This window comes from Homo sapiens, chromosome 1 (assembly GCF_000001405.40).
Source record: "Homo sapiens chromosome 1, GRCh38.p14 Primary Assembly".
Classification (NCBI taxonomy): Eukaryota; Metazoa; Chordata; class Mammalia; order Primates; family Hominidae; genus Homo; species Homo sapiens.
This window is the reverse complement of record NC_000001.11, coordinates 225,643,081-225,658,939: the sequence shown is the minus strand read 5'-3', so window position 1 is coordinate 225,658,939 and position 15,859 is coordinate 225,643,081. Positions and strand designations below refer to the sequence as shown.

The 15,859-nt window shown below is 42.5% G+C and overlaps 1 protein-coding gene across 34 annotated transcripts in view, besides 1 other annotated feature; it reads left to right on the top strand.

Annotated features, from left to right (window-relative positions):
* ENAH (ENAH actin regulator) overlaps positions 5,062-15,859 on the top strand; it is a 167,050-nt gene continuing 156,252 nt past the window's right edge. For 17 of the 34 annotated variants that reach the window (XM_017001752.2, XM_047424938.1, XM_017001751.2 and 14 more), the window contains exon 1: positions 5,062-5,978. In XM_017001752.2, coding sequence (XP_016857241.1) covers positions 5,188-5,978 — 791 coding nt within the window. In that variant the 5' untranslated portion in view covers positions 5,062-5,187. Of the gene's footprint in view, positions 6,623-15,859 lie in introns of all 34 variants that reach the window. The other 17 variants (NM_001377483.1, NM_001420162.1, NM_018212.6 and 14 more) reach the window with 5 other exon arrangements.
* Positions 5,838-5,967: a silencer, noted in NCBI's record as "silent region_1858". NCBI's record gives its function as "represses an Ori minimal core promoter by ATAC-STARR-seq in GM12878 lymphoblastoid cells {active_cell/tissue: GM12878}" and the evidence as "EXISTENCE:reporter gene assay evidence [ECO:0000049][PMID:35858748]".

Below are 15,859 nucleotides of genomic sequence, written 5' to 3'. Positions count from 1 at the left end.
ACAGGGTTTCTCCATGTTGATCAGGCAGGTCTCGAACTCCCGACCTTAGGTGGTCTGACTGCCTTGGCCTCCTAAAGTGCTGGGATTACAAGTGTGAGCCACCGCGCCCGGATGGTGATGGTTCTTTTCTATTTTCTTTTTATTTTTTGGGACAGGGTTTTGCTCTGTCACCCAGGCTGGAGTGCAGTGGTGTGATTATGGCTCACTGCAGCCTCAACCTCCTGGCTCAAGCCATCCTCCACCCTCAGCTTCCTATGTAGTTGGGTCTACAGGTGCATGCCACCATGCCTAGCTAGAATTTTATTTTTTAGAGAGATAGAGTCTCACTATATTGCCCAGCCTGGTCTCGAACTCCTGGGCTCAAGTGATCCTCCTGCCTCAGCCTTCCAAAGGGCCAAGATTACAAGCATGAGCCACTGCACCAGGCTCGACACTTATTTTCAATCCAATTTCTAAAGCACTATAATTTGATTGTTATCTAGATATGGGGACCACCTGCCATATTCTTTAAATGGTGGCCATAGCTGAATTTTGTGGGAAAAAATGCATTGCATTTTATAGAATATGGCCTCTATAGACTAATGTTACTCCAAAACCATTCAGGCTATGGGAATCTTCTGCCAAATCTAAACACTGTAGAGCTAAGAAAAGAAAGAGACTCTGGGGAAGACGAAATGAAATTAACTGAATAAATCCTAATTTGGAAGGGAGAAAAATGACAAATGGAAGAAAAATGCAAAAGGCAGAGAGGCAAATAGTTTCCTCTAATGTCTGTGTCTCCTGATAATATTTTAGAGCTGACATTATATATGGGCAGCTAAAGCTGAAAGATGAGAAATAAAAATATCTTGAATCCTACTGGAATATCATGTTCTACGTTATTTTTTTTTCCATTCTTGGGGACACAAACAAAAATTACACTGTGAACTAACTGCCACAAAAGAAAACAAAATACTGTTAGGTATAAGCAGAAAGTGTACAATCAAGTTCACTCCAAACTACCTTCTCTTCCTCACCCATCTGTAAAGTAACTTAATTTTTCGAGGGAGAGCCTTTTTTTTGGGTGATGGGGGAGACCGTGCCTACAATCCTTAGCATTGATTTCCTAACTGCTGAGTAGCATTAGTCACGCATCCTCCTCATGCCCATAAATGGAGGACAAGCCTACACTGATGCTATCAGATGAATTTAAACAAGGCATGTTCCAAGTGAACCCTCAGAGCCAGACTGACAACACTCCTGCAGCAAACTCATCTTCAACAGGAGCAAATTTTATTTCCTTTTCTGAGTACACACTGCTAACAAATGTATAGGCCAATGTGATGGCTCTGTACTGTACACCTAGGGCTTGGAGCAGGCCTCCTACTGTGATATTAAGCAGGGGTGGCTGGGCGCGGTGGCCCATGCCTGTAATTCCAGCACTTTGGGAGGCCGTAGCGGGTAGATCACCTGAGGTGAGGGGTTAGAGACCTGCCTGGCCAACATGTTAAAACCTGTCTCTACTAAAAATATGAAAATTAGCTGGGTGTGGTGGCGGGCGCCTGTAATCCCAGCTACTGGGGAGGCTAAGGCAGGAGAACCCCTCGAACCTGGGAGGAGGCTGCAGTGAGCAGGGCTCTCACCACTGCACTCCAGCCTGGGCAACAGAGCAAGAGTCGGTCGAAAAAAAAAAAAAGCATGGGTAAAAGTTTATCTAAGAGAAAGTTGAGGTCTATATACTTGATGTTAACAACAGAGTATATTTCTTTTGATGAATAGTTTTTAATTAGAGAAGTCATTCACTCATTTATTCATTCACCTTTTAAATACCTAGGTGCCTACATGATGGGCCAGCCATTGGGCCTTGGGCCAGCAACCCTTATGAGAGAAGAGTTCAAATGATTTCCACTATTCAGCCAAGCCAACACAATCTCAGCTAATTTTTAGTTTTTAATTTTAATTGTTTAGAGACAGGTTCTGTCTCTCAGGCTGGAGTGCAGTGGCTGGATCATAGCTCACTGCAGCCTCGAATCCCTGGGCTCAAACAATCTTCTTGCCTCAGCCTCCTGAGCAGCTGAGACCACAGGGGCGTGCTACAATACCTGGCTCATATTTTTTTTCTTTGAGACGGAGTCTCGCTCTGTCTCCCAGGCTGGAGTACAGTGGCACAATCTCAGCTCACTGCAACCTCTGCCTCCCAGGCTGGAGTACAGTGGCACAATCTCGGCTCACTGCAACCTCTGCCTCCCGGGTTCAAGTGAATCTCCTGCCTCAGCCTCTGGAGTAGCTGGGATTACAGGCACCTGCCACCACACCTGGCTAATTTTTTGTATTTTTAATATAGATGGGGTTTCACCATGTTGGCCAGGCTGGTCTCAAACTCCTGACCTAGTGATCCGCCTGCCTCAGCCTCCCAAAGTGCTGGGATTACAGGTATGAGCCACCGTACCTGGCTACCTGGCTAATTTTTTAAAAATTTTGTAGAAATGGGGTCTTGCCATGTTGCCCAGGCTGGTCTTGAACTCCTGGGCTCAAGTGATCTGCTGCCTCAGCCTCCCAAAGTGCTGGGTTTACAAACCTGAGCCATCATGCCAGGCCCAGACCTAATTTTTAAGCAGAGTTTATGAGAAGAGAATCAGCTTTAATTTTTATTGCCTTAGTGCACTCTCATCCCATAAGAAGGTAGTTTGATATAGTCGAAGGAACAATGGACCAAGATTTGGAAATCCTGAGTTTAAGTTGTGGGCAAGTTACTTAACCTCTCTGGGTCTCACATTTCTTTTCTGAAAAATGAGTGGGCTGGACCGAAGATTCCTTCCATCTCTAAAATTCTTTTATTCTATATGGTAACACATTCCACAGCATTTCCTTTGTGACCAGAATTAGTCTGTGACTTCCTACCTCAAGTATCGCTTTGCACTCTTTGAATGTTAAACCAAATATGAACAAGAAGCAATAACATTTTGTCACAGCCAACAAATTGCCCTTCCACAGAATGACCTTTGGGGGTCAGGCCACCCATTGCAATATCTAAATCCAAAAGGCAATGAATGCTATGACCAACTTGTGAGCTGGCAGGCTGCCATCCAAAAGGATGGAAATGGTTGTAGGCAGCCAAAATTCTTGGCTGGTACATTTTTAATAAACATAGAAAATAAGAACAGCATTTTCCACTTGGATTGCTTAATTTGGTGCCCATACCATTGGAACATTTGCTGTTAGAATAAAGATGATGTGATATATCACTTATTTAGCGCAGGATGGATTAACTTTCACAAATGAGAAGTAGGTTATGGAGTCATCTGTAAGGAATTTTTATCCTTGTTTCTTGTGTCTGGCAGGAGATAGCTTGAGTCATTACAGCACTCTCTCCACCCCTTTTGGCCCTTTGTAAGAGTTTTCCCTGAAACATAAGCTCTGTCGGATTTACTGTATTGCTATGAATGGACTAAGGCAAATTGGTGTGACTTCTCTGTGGTCGAATATGTTTTATTAATACTTTTCCAAGATGGTTCAATATGTCTTAATTTTTCCAAGAAAAAACTCTCCACAGCACATGTTCAAATACTTGAGGTATGTGTTTCAAACTACAGGGAGAAACTTACGTAAGACAATGACCCTCATAGTTGGTAGCTATGATTTTTAATCATGCCTGTTGCACTAATTGATCCAGTTACTTGAGCTCTATGTTTCCCTGTCTCTACTTGCAATATGGCAACTAGAACATTTGACTGGCAAGTTTGTTTTCTCTCCAGTGGTTGGAGATCCTTGAATAAAATGCCCTCTGTAATGGTAAGCTGTAATTAGATATGTGGGTGGAAATTAGCGTTCTTCAAGTACACCATGTTTAAGGCAGAGGCATCATGCTTTCTACTACCTGAGGCCACCTTGATCCTCTGCCATAGCTCCGGGTCACTGCTTCTATAGGGCTGTTGGTCTAAGGCTGCCGGTTCCAAAAAGAAAATAACTCGGTATTGAGCTCTGAAACCAGGAATTTTATTTATTTATTTATTTATTTATTTATTTATTTATTTTTTAGATGGAGTCTCGCTCTGTCACCTAGGCTGGAGTGCAGTGGTGTGATCTGAGCTCACTACAACCTCCTCTTCCCGGGTTCAAGCGATTCTCTTGACTCAGCTGGGATTACAGGCGTGCACCACCACGCCCGGCTGTTTTTTTATTTTTTATTTTTAGTAGAGACAGGGTTTCGCCATGTTGGCCAGGCTGGTCTGGAACTCCTGACCTCAGATGATTCGCCTGCCTCAGCCTCCCGAAGTGCTGAGATGACAGGCGTGAGCCACCGCACCCGGCTGAAACCAGGAAGCTTTTTTTATGGTTAAAAATGGGCTACACAGTTCAATTATAGACAAATCAGGCATTGACCACGGATCACTATAACCTGTCTTTTCATTTGGAAGTGTACATTATCCCAACCTTCCTAACTATCTTTTGAATGGTACCTGCATCTTAAAACAAAACACCAAAACTTTTGAATGGATTCCTGGAGTCATGGTAGGTCCTCCATTTTGGATGAGATCCTTCAGCAATAGGATCCCTGTAGCAACAACCCTTTTCTATCCTCCTCACCTTTTATACAGAAAGTACATCCCTGTCTTCCGGACTAAAAGGGGGCCGTAATTCGTACAGTTAAAAATTTTATTATTGGATTTGTTTTTAGATTTAAAAAAAACCGAAAACAAAACCTTCAACAACGATCAATTCTGGCTTCCTGGATGCCCTCCTCCCCGACTTGACTTGAAATGAAATTGCCTCGCCAGTATTTTATATCTACTTTTTAAGGGAGGTGACTTCAAGACCATTGGGAATGACGAAAAATTTAAAATTATCATTAGTTCCTCTCTCTCCCCGCCCCCTGCCCGGGATTCCCTCTTTGCTAATGACGCTGGAAAGCGGCTCCACTGGCTGCGTTTCTCTTCTTCCACTCTTGCGGCAACACACTGTTCCGCGCGCGTCTCCCGGCGACTGCGTTTCCCCGAGAGTCGGCTGCGTTCGTTTGGGGATGAAGTCATCCCTATACCTAGTGTGCACATCAACTCGTTCCATCGGCGCAGCACGCTGGGATTCCTCGGGAAGAAAAGGAGCGAAGGGAACAATGATGACCATATTTTCCATTTATATGCCCCTCCTCAACTCCGCAGGAATCGCTGGGCGCAGCCGCGGCGAGGGCGGGCAGTTGGGCTGACCGGGATGCCCCCCGATTCCCTCATCCCCGTCCTGAGACCGCAACAGGGCGGGCTGAGCACTCGCCCCGCGCGAGGGCACCCGGCCGCGAGCCGACCCGGAGTCTCCTGGCCCGGCCCTGTGCCCAGTCACGCGTCCAAGCTCCCCACGCCGGTGCCTACGGGTCTGGCGCCCAGGAGGTCTCGGCGCCTCGGTCTCCGCACCGTGGCCGTGGGGGAGGCCTCGGAGCTCCCCAAGCCTCTGGGGAGCGGGAGGCGACGGGGAGGGGGCCGACGGTCAAGGACAACCACGGGCGAGGAACCCCGGCCGACAACTGGCCGGAGGTGTTGGGCGGGAGGGGGGGGTGGTGGCCCGCCCGAATCCCAGAGGGGTGCAGGGGGCGGGGTAGGGAGGCAACAAAGAGCCTCTCTCCGCCGCCGCCGCCGTCGCGCTCGCTCTCTCCCAGCCTCGCTCTCCGCAGTCCGGCGGGGGCCCGGCCGCCGGCGCGGGGGAGTGCGCCCGGCCCCCCGCCTCCCCTTTCCTCCCCTCCCCCCGCACCGCCCCCTCGCCCCCGGGGGAAGGAGGGGAGGAGGGCGGCGCCTGCGTGTTCCTCCGCCGCGCGCCCCGCCTCCTCCCGGGTTCCTCGCGGCGATCCCGACTCTCCTCCCGCGGCTGCAGCAGCTGCCGGTTGCACACGGCCTCGGCGGCGGCGCGGCGAGCGCGGGCCTGTGGAGCGGCGGCCGGGCGCGCGGCCCCGGCGGGCACCCCTCAGAGGGCGGCCGAGGAAGCTCCGGGAGGAGGAGCAGGACCACGAGGAGGTGGGAGGCGGCGGCCGCCTGGGGACCAGCTCCGCGCCTCGGCCTCTCCGCCCCCTCCCCAGCCTTTCTCTCGCCCTCTTCTCCCACACTCCCGGCCGGCGCCTCGGCTTTGTGCGAGGAGATGGTGTAGCCCCCTGGCCGCCGAAGGAGGAGCCGGACACTTGTCTCCCGTCTCCGAGCTGCTCCCCACCCCTGGAGGAGAGACCCCCCCCTCGGCTCGGCGCCTTCTGCGTCTCCCGGCTGGTGGGGAAGCCTCTGCGCCGCCGGCACCATGAGGTGAGGGGCGCGCGGGGCGGGGGCCGGGCGGGCCATTGTGCCGCGGGAGCCGCGACCCCCGTTCTCCTCGGACCCCGCCTTCCCTCTCCCGGCCCGGCGCGTCTCCCCTGGTCTCCGGTCTGTTCCTCCCCCCTCCGCCTTTTGTCCCTTCCAATTTCTCTTTCTTTCTTGGAAACCTCCCCAACCCGTGTGGTTTGGGGGTCTCGCTTCATCGTTCTCTCATTTTTCCTCAAATGCTCTTCTTTCACCCAGGATTTCCCTTCCTAAATTTAATTTGCGCCTGGCTCCCTCCCCCAAGCCTTTGCAAGCGAAACCCGGGAGATGGGGAGGGGTTCGAGAATCGAAGCGTGCGTGTTGCTGGGAAACAGGTATTTTTTCGTATATATGTAAAAATTTCATGCACTTTTGCCTCCGAACTCTCGTGTTTAATTAAAAAAGGAAGAAAAGTTTGAAAGGTCTGAAATCTCTGCGGGTAATAAAGTGCCTCTGGTAGGGGTAGGTGAAGGAGCTGTGAAAGGTGAAATTTCACGATGGTGGGGGAAGGGAAAGAATTGATTAGGTTCACGTGGTGGGGGCAGTAAAAGACTGGGATAAGTAAGTTGGTAGGGGTGTGTAAGCGGGGGCGGGGAAGGGATCTGTTTGGAAAAGCCTTTTCTCCCCTTTCTCTGTAGCAGCCTGTGTTGCATTGCAGCAGCTGCTTTTTCCCTTTGCTCTGTACTCAATAAAACAGGAGCTAAATTATTTTTGCGGCCCCGAAGAATTGAATGTACTGTCGTAAAATATTTTTTTAATTGATACGATGAAACATATGGTATGATATTTTTCTTTATTGTTTCTCAAATTGTGTAGGAGAATAAACCGTGATGTGGTGTGTCATTCATTGGAGATTTTTTTTCCAGCCTTTCCTAAACCTGTTCTGTGTCCATAACCTTCTCTTTTCGGATTGGTGCAAGACTTCGTGTGAAATGGGACTTGGTAGACTGAAGGCTGATCCATTCTGCGTTATCATCCTTAAAGGCCTTCCTTTTGGGTTAAACAATTGTGGATAAAGTAAATTACTCCATTTCTCTCTCCTGGAAGAGATAGTCTTACAGTTCATTTGGATTTGAATCTCCTTTGTGTTAAAGATTAATGGCCAACCGTTGCTAAGACCTTTATAATGTAATACAATGAGATTTGAATGATATAATCTACAAATTCCTTCGCTTTGGCAAGAAAATGTCATGTCATTGGAATTCTTTCTCAATTTCGGTAGTTTCCATTTTAAACTTTGCTTTTCATTTTTTTTTTCTATCAAGGTTAAACGTGTTTCCATTTTGCTTTTATATATATATTGTGATATATCTTTGTTGAATTTTTACTTAGGCTTACTGTGAATTTGAATTTTTTTTTCTGATTCCAAGTTACCTGTATTTATGATGGCCTTAAAGAGTGAGTTTAATGTGGTGTCTCTAGGCGACTGACCCCTTTTCCCTTGATGATTTCACACAAGTTATTTTCAAATATAAGCGATGAGTTTAAATAGTAATTATAGCATACGAACCAAAAAACACAATCTTTGTAAAATATGGCTTGAAAACTTTGAGTCGTATGTTTGAGCATGACTTCTTTTTTTTTAAATCAAGTTACTGATGTCCTTAAACTCAGGAACTATAATATACATACTGTTATATCTTGTAATATTATATGTTGTTGGTTTCTGTTTTAGAGATCTAATGCCGTAGGGATCTTGCAGACCAGAAGTTATCAGTTGTTTCAAACTTTGGGTAAACTTATCTTAACATTGAGAAATATAAAACAGGGAAAGTTTTTTTTTTTTTTTTTTTTTTTTTTTTTTAAATGCAGTCTTGCTCTCTTGCCCAGGCTGGAGTGCAGTGGCGCGGTCTCGGCTCACTGCAACCTCCGCCTCCTGGGTTCAAGCGATTCTCCTGCCTCAGCCTCCCAAGTAGCTGGGATTACAGGCGGGTATCACCACGCCCGGCTAATTTTTTGTATTTTTAGTAGAGACGGGGTTTCACCATGTTAGCCAGGATGGTCTCCAACTCCGGACCTCGTGATCCACCAGCTTCGGCCTCCCAAAGTGCTGGGATTACAGGCGTGAGCCACGGTGCCTGGCCGAAAGTGGGTTATTTTTAAATAAAAACAGGAATAGTTGTCTAATTCAAAGATTGTGAACTAAAAAAAAGTTACCGTTTTGGGTATTCAGTGAAGTTTAATCACTGTCATGTATAGATGTCAGTCTGTCACAGGTAAATTATGTCTTCACTTGAAAATTCCTTTTCTAATAAAAAGTAACTTCTGTTTTTCAAGCTCTTTTCTTGCTCTGTTCCTTATGAAGTGTAGAGAGAGAGGAACCACGCTGATGTTTTCCAGTAACGTAAATATAGAACTTGGTACACAGGTCTGAAAAGTTTATTTAAGCAGTCTACAGTAATTCTTCGTAGGCTAATTTTGAATAAGAGCAGGAAAGAGGGTCAGCTTTTCACTTTGGAAGGTACTGGATTATTTGGCAGGTGGTTAGGTAGTACTTAGATTTGCTTAGATACCTGTAAAAGTGAGATTGGTATGGGATAAAACGTTCTTGTGCTGCTTGCAAAAGTCTTTGGAATATTCTTTGGGATATTTTGGTGCTTAGGAAGTGCTTTTCAGGTTATATTAATATATGCTTAGTCTTCATGCTTTCAAGTCCTGTGGGACGTTAATGTTAGTCTTTTAAGTTGAGTCCTTTTTGGTTATATTAAGAGGTAGTTCTGATGTTTCAAAGGCCATCCAGAAATAGGAATGCCTGAACAGGAATTTCCAATTAAGTCGGTCAGAATCCTGAACAGAGGATATGATGAATATATTACGGTATAACTATTAGTGGTATCTGTCAGATGACTTTAATTTTAGGAATAGCATGATCACTGTGTATAATCTTATACAGAAGAGAACTGAATAATAGTTTATGTTCCTGAAACGGTCATAGGCATTTGAGTAAAATGCAGTATATAGATTTACTTGTTAATATTTTGCTTAAAGATGAATATTTAAAAAATGAAAAAGCATATTACTTATACAGGACAGTGGAAAGGTTGAGACCAAAAAGCTGGTACTTTTAGTGTCCTGTCTGTTTAGTTCTATTCTTATTTTTCATTTATGCAATGTTTCAAAAGTGTAAGATGCTTTGTGATTAAAGTGTGCGTGTATGTATGTGAATGCGTTTGTATGCATGTACATACAGTGTGTGCCTTTTAAGTGCATTTTTAAAATTAGTTGGTTTGTTACTTAAGATTTTTTTTTTTTTTTAACTGAAAGAGGAGCTTGTCTGATCTAAAATAGTTGCATGTAGCCTGGTGGCTAAGGAGAGCTCAGAAGATTTTGTATTTACATTCTTGGATCCGTATTAAAATAGTCCAGGCTTCCACTAGCTACTCTGACTTTCTCATATAAAAAGGTATAGTAGGGTTATGAGGATTTGTCCAAGCCATTTACTAGCTGGGTGACCTTGAAGTAATCACATTATTTCACTGATGCCTTTTTAAAAAATATGTAAAAATAGAGATAATTCTTAACTGAGTAGTGAGGATCAAATGATAATAGAAGGTACTTTATACACTGGTAAGCCTTAAATTTATGTTACTCCTCCTGTTTCCAGGCCTATTTCTATGTTAGACTATTTGGGTAAAACTTCTGGGCAGTGGGCTCCACCTTGCGACCTTATTTAGCTCAAGGATGTCAAAAAGACCACATTTTTATTATTTTATAGGTGAGGAAGCTGTTCCCTTCTTCTGTGTTTCCTTCCTTAGGGTCTTTGAAGTATCTTTATTTGTGGTAATCATAAATTTTATATACATTTCAGAGTGTGGTACAATCAAGGGTCAGAAGATCCAGGTTTTATATGCTGACCTGTTAATTGAGTAAACTGGTAAAAAAAAAAAAAAAAAAGGAGATAATCTTATATTTCACAGGATTGTTTTGTGAAGTGTCAAGTGAGATATCCATGAAAGGATACAAATAGTAGTCTCTTTGTTCCCATGGGTCTTCATTTATACTCGTAGCTGTTGGATGTGTGACTTTCCCACAGAGGTTTATTTTAGGAGCAAGAGCCAAATCTTCATTTTTTGAATGTCAGTATTGTAGGAATTTACTAAGTGAATAAATCTTGAAGAAGAGTGTGGATTAATAGAGAAAATTCACTAAAGTTTATTCAGTATTCAAGGTGTTGGATACCTTGTTGGCCCAGTTGGATTAAGCAAAATAACTATGGAGGCACCATTTGGCTGGTATAGAAGAAATTACATACTGAATAGGTTTTGGTGATTTATCTTACAGAAGGCTTAAAACAGGTGATTGTATAACTTGTAAAATATCTAGTCTGTATCATGAGTGTAAGAAAGATTTGAAAAAATGTGATTTCAATTTTTATATGGTTGTAGGGGAGTAAAAGGGTATTTAAACCCTACTTGTGCCAACTTAAAGTTGTCTTTTCCTCTTTTTTCTCCTCCTTGTTTGAAATTGATGAATGGAATTAAGTGGAAGTAAAAGTTAGAGAATATGAGCTGAGGCTGTACTTCAGTGGATGCTTCTTCAGATAAGGGTTTACGAAATTTTCCTGACTAGAAACAAGAAGGGGACTCCTTGTCAGACCTGGGATATAGTCCTTGACTTGCCCCTAACATGCTCCCCCAACCCCCTTGTCCCCCACTATTCCTGTGTGTTCCAGTGCACTTTACATGTTTTTTTGCTATTGAATTTATTCTGTCTTATAATTATGTGGTTCTTTTTGTCCCTCTTCATTGTAAGTTCCTTGAAGAGGATTTTTATATTCATGGTACTAGCAAAATACTAGCATTTTTATATTCATGGTACTAGCAAAATACTTGGCAAATAGTGGGTGGCCTGTGTAAGTGTTTGACTTTGACTGCGTTGCTCTTTTATAGAATCTGTTCACTAGCAACCCCATTTTTGGAATACCTGTAGTGTTCTAGAAGCTCTACTGGATATTGTAGGGTGTAGTGTAGTATTTGGTGGATACTAAATGTTAATAACATAATTTAATTAAGCAAGCAAAAACTCACATCCTGACTCCAGGAATAGGTGTAGAATTTGGTTTTCTTTTGTTCTTTTTTAAATTTTAATTTAATTTTTATTTTGTAGAGATGTGGTCTTGCTATGTGGACCAGGCAGGTTTTGAACTCACCTGGCCAGAATTTATTTCTTATTCTAACACAGAGCTTGGAAGTGGCTACAAGTGTCAGGATTGTCTAAATTCTAAGCCCTTTGGAGGATACCATGTTTACTTGACTTTATGATTAAATTCTGAATTACTGAAAGGGCCATCAATCTGTTTTTAAGTCTCTTTGACCAAAGAACTTGTAAATATTTTCAAGTAACAAGCATATGCATCTCTATTGGTTTAATTTATTTTTACCCCATTTAGTGCTTGCTTTGTTTTGATTCTTTTTTTGTTTTTGTTTTTTGAGATGGAGTCTCACTCTTGCCCAGGCTGGAGTGCAGTGGCATGATCTCCACTCACTGCAGCTTCCGCCTCCTGGGTTCAAGCAATTCTCTAGCCTCAGCCTCCCGAGTAGCTGAGACTACAGGCGCGTGCCACCACGCCCAGCTAATTTTTTGTATTTTTAGTAGAGATGGGGTTTCAACATGTTAGCCAGGATGGTCTTGATCTCCTGACCTCGTGATGCGCCCACCTCAGCCTCCCAAAGTGCTGGGATTATAGGCGTGAGTCACCGCCCCCAGCCCTGCTTTGTTTTGATTCTTATCAGTGCTTCAAATACCAATCACTGGGTAGTGTATGATACTCTTGAAGTATTAGTGTGGGCTGCCATAACAAAATACCATAGACTGGGTGGCTTAAACAACAGAAAATTATTTTTTATTTTTATTTATTAATTTTTTTGAGACAGTCTCACTGTGTCGCCCAGGCTGGATTGCAGCGGCTCGATCTCAGGTTACTGCAAGCTCTGCCTCCCGGGTTCACACCATTCTCCTGCCTCAGCCTCCTGAGCAGGTGGGACCACAGGCGCCTGCCACCACGCCTGGCTAATTTTTTTGTATTTTTTAGTTGAGATGGGGTTTCACTGTGTTAGCCAGGATGGTCTTGATCTCCTGACCTCGTGGGATTACAGGTGGGAGCCACAGCGCCCGGCCTAGACATTTATTTTAAGGTTCTGGAGGCTGGAAGTCAGAGATCAGGTTGCCAGTATGGATGGGTTTTGGTGAGGGTTCTCTTCCTGGCTTGCAGAAGATATCCTTCTCTCTGTGTCCTCACATGGTAGGGTGGGTATGGGAATCCTGGGGTCGGGGAGATGAGGGGGGATTTCTCTCTCCTCCTCATTTCATAAGGCCATTAATCCTATTGAATTAGGGCCCTGTGCTTATAACTTAATTTAACATTAGTTACCTCCTAAAAGCCCTTTTTCCAAATAGAGTCACATTGAGGGTTAGGGTATTAACATATAAATTTTAGGGGAACACAGTTCAGTCTATAGCAGAAGATAACTACATTTTTTTTTTTTGTCAGTGCATACAACTTTGGAAGAAAATAATTTGTTTAATATTTAGGTGAACTTTAGATAAGTTTTGTTTTAAGTAACCAGAAGTTGTTTACTAAAGAAGATAAATTAGGGGGGTTGATTGATTTATACAAGATATCCGTTAAATTTTCTAGAAATCTCTTTACACTGGGAACCTTCTATTTTACAATGATTAAAGTAAGTTTTATTAACAGGCAACTTTTCCAAAGACTACTTTGGGTATGAGGCAATGTATGTATATCTAAGTGTAGAGATTGAATGGTGTAGGGTAAAGAGGACAGGCTTTGAAGTTAACTCTGGGTTTGACTCTAGTTTGACATTTACTAAATAATTTATTTTTGAGTGGGTTATAAACATTTTTTGGGATCGAATATACTTTGTGAATTATAGAGCTGTTGAGAAAATTAAATAAAATTCTGGCATAACACTTGGCACACAAAATGAGCTTGATAAGAGTAAATCCCCCACTTTTATGAAAGTCTGACATCTCTTAAGTTTATGTTAAGAATGTGAAAAACCATGTAAGATGGTGCAGCTGCTTTAGAAAACAGTTTGGCAGTTCCTCAAAAGTTAAACATAGAGTTATCGTATGACCCAGCAATTCCTTTCCTAGAAATGAAAACATTTGTCCACAGAAAAACTTGTACACAAATGTCTATAGTATCGTTATTCATAACAGCCAAAAAGCAGAAATAACCCAGGTGTGTCTGATTTCATGAATAGATCATCAAAATGTGGTATGTCCATACAACAGAATAATATTTGGCCATCAAAAGGAATGGAATTCTGATACATGCCACAGCGTAGATGGAAGCATTATGCTAAGTGAAATAAGCCAGACACAAAAGGCGATATATGCCATGATTCCATTTATATGAAATGCCCAGAATAGACAGATCTATATAATAACACCAGAAGATCTCATTTGCTTTTTACGTGAGTTGTTTCTGACATTTTTATTACTTTGGATTAATATTTTGAATTGACATCTTCGTGCTATTTAAAGAAGAGAGATTGAAGATAGAACCACTGGACATTTCTCTGTAGGGAAACAAGCACGTGGGAATGCTGAGGTGGAAACCTTGGTAGTGGTGGCTTTGAAAGGCCTGAACAAATTTTGGAGCTGTATCTTCGTGCTAAGGAGACAGCCAGCCATCTCTTTGGTAGGCCTGTTGTAAGTAAGGATGACTAAAGTCACCAGTAAAATGTGATGAAGCAAATCCATCAGAATCTTCAGAAAACTTAAATCTGGGTGGTGATTTTCTGGGGTTTGTTTACAGTAGTCTCAAATACCAAAAGTTTTGTCTTTGGGGAATGAGGTAATCATGATATTTTTAAATAAACTGAGCCCTTTTCCAGTGGTAAAGGCCTTATAGAACATCTGGTCTTGGTAAGAATACATCTGATGATGTGAAATCAAAATGACTACCTTTAACTGTGCCTTAGAGGTCCTCAGTCTTCTGTCCTTTTTGGTATCTGTTACATTTGCAACTTGGCAGCGGGGGAGCTTTATGAAGAACCAAGAACTTAAGTAAAATAAAATGAATAGCTCTTGAGGTCAAATCTCAAGGGAGTCCAAATTGCTCCTTTTACAGTTCAGTGAAGGGATCTTTTTATGCAGTCTTAATAATTATTATATACTGGTTATTTGAATATCTGCTTTGTTCTGCAGTCTTTCTCCTCCTCCCCCAAATTCTCATGTTAGACTGATATTGCAAGCAAAATTGTGACCGTTCAGTTTTTAACAATTTAAGATTTATGTATCTTAAGTTTTCATTTAAAACTTTTACTTACAGTCTACTTAATTGTGGTCTTTGCACAATTTTTTTAGAATTATTTTTAGAAAAATAAATCAATTACTGTTGTCCATATGTCTGGTCAGTATTTTTTTAAATTACTTTTTTCCTTCCATTGTAAAGTAGTACAGATTTTGAACAGATTTTAGAAGGTATGGAAAGTATAAAACATTTATTTATGAAATGTTAAATCCAAGCCATCTAGTATTTTAATATTTTAATGTGTAGATTTCTAAACTTTTTGTAGTGCATTTGCAGCATTGCAGATCATTGTGCGTGTGCATATGATTATATATAAAAGTAAGATTATACTATTTAAAAATGGAATTATACTATATTTGTATTGTGTATTTTGTAGCTTGTCCCTTTCCATATATATAATATCTATACTTTTTACATTTTATTATTTTTATTTTTTAAATAGGGTCTTAAACTGTCACCCAGGCTGGAGTGCAGTGGTGCAATCATAGCTTACTGCAGCCTCGAACTCCTGGGCTCAAGCGATCCTCCCATCTCAGCCTCCTGAGTAGCTGAGACTACAGATGTGCGCCACCACACCCTCTAATTGTTAAGATTTTTGTGCAGAGACAAGGTCTCGCTATGTTGCCCAGGCTGGTCTTGAACTCCTGGCCTCAAGTCATCCTCCCACTTCAGCCTCCCAAAGCACTCGGATTACAGGCATGAGCTGCTGTGTCCAGCCAGTAATTCTTGTTCCTAACTATATAGCTACATAACTTTAAGTGACTGCATAATATTCCATTGCTTTGGATGGATGACTTTGTCTACTTAAATCTTAAAGATGGACTTTTAGATTTGTTCCATTATTTTTGTTATTATAAAAAACACTGCTGTGAACATCTTTGGTTATATGTCTTTGTGTACATATCTGATACTGTTTTAGGATACATTCCTAGAAGTAAAATCAAGAAGTAGTGCTGTGTTTTGTTTTTTTTTTTATTTTTTGTTTCTTTACCTTTCTGTATCCAGTCTATCATTGTCCTACCAGGTCACCTTCACTTGCTTCTGTCCATCTCACTGCCTCAAGTCCAGGCCACTGTTATCTCTTACCTGAACTATTAGTGTTTCCTCATTTCCATTCATGTCCCCTGTTCTTCATGCATCACTCAGAATACTCTTAAAGTGGAAATCAGATATTGTTATTTCCCATGTAAAGCCTTCAGCGGCATCTTAGACTAAAACCCAAATTTGTCATAAAACCAAAATTATTAAGGTCTTGCGTGACCTGGCTCTGCATTCCAAGTTCCCAGCACAG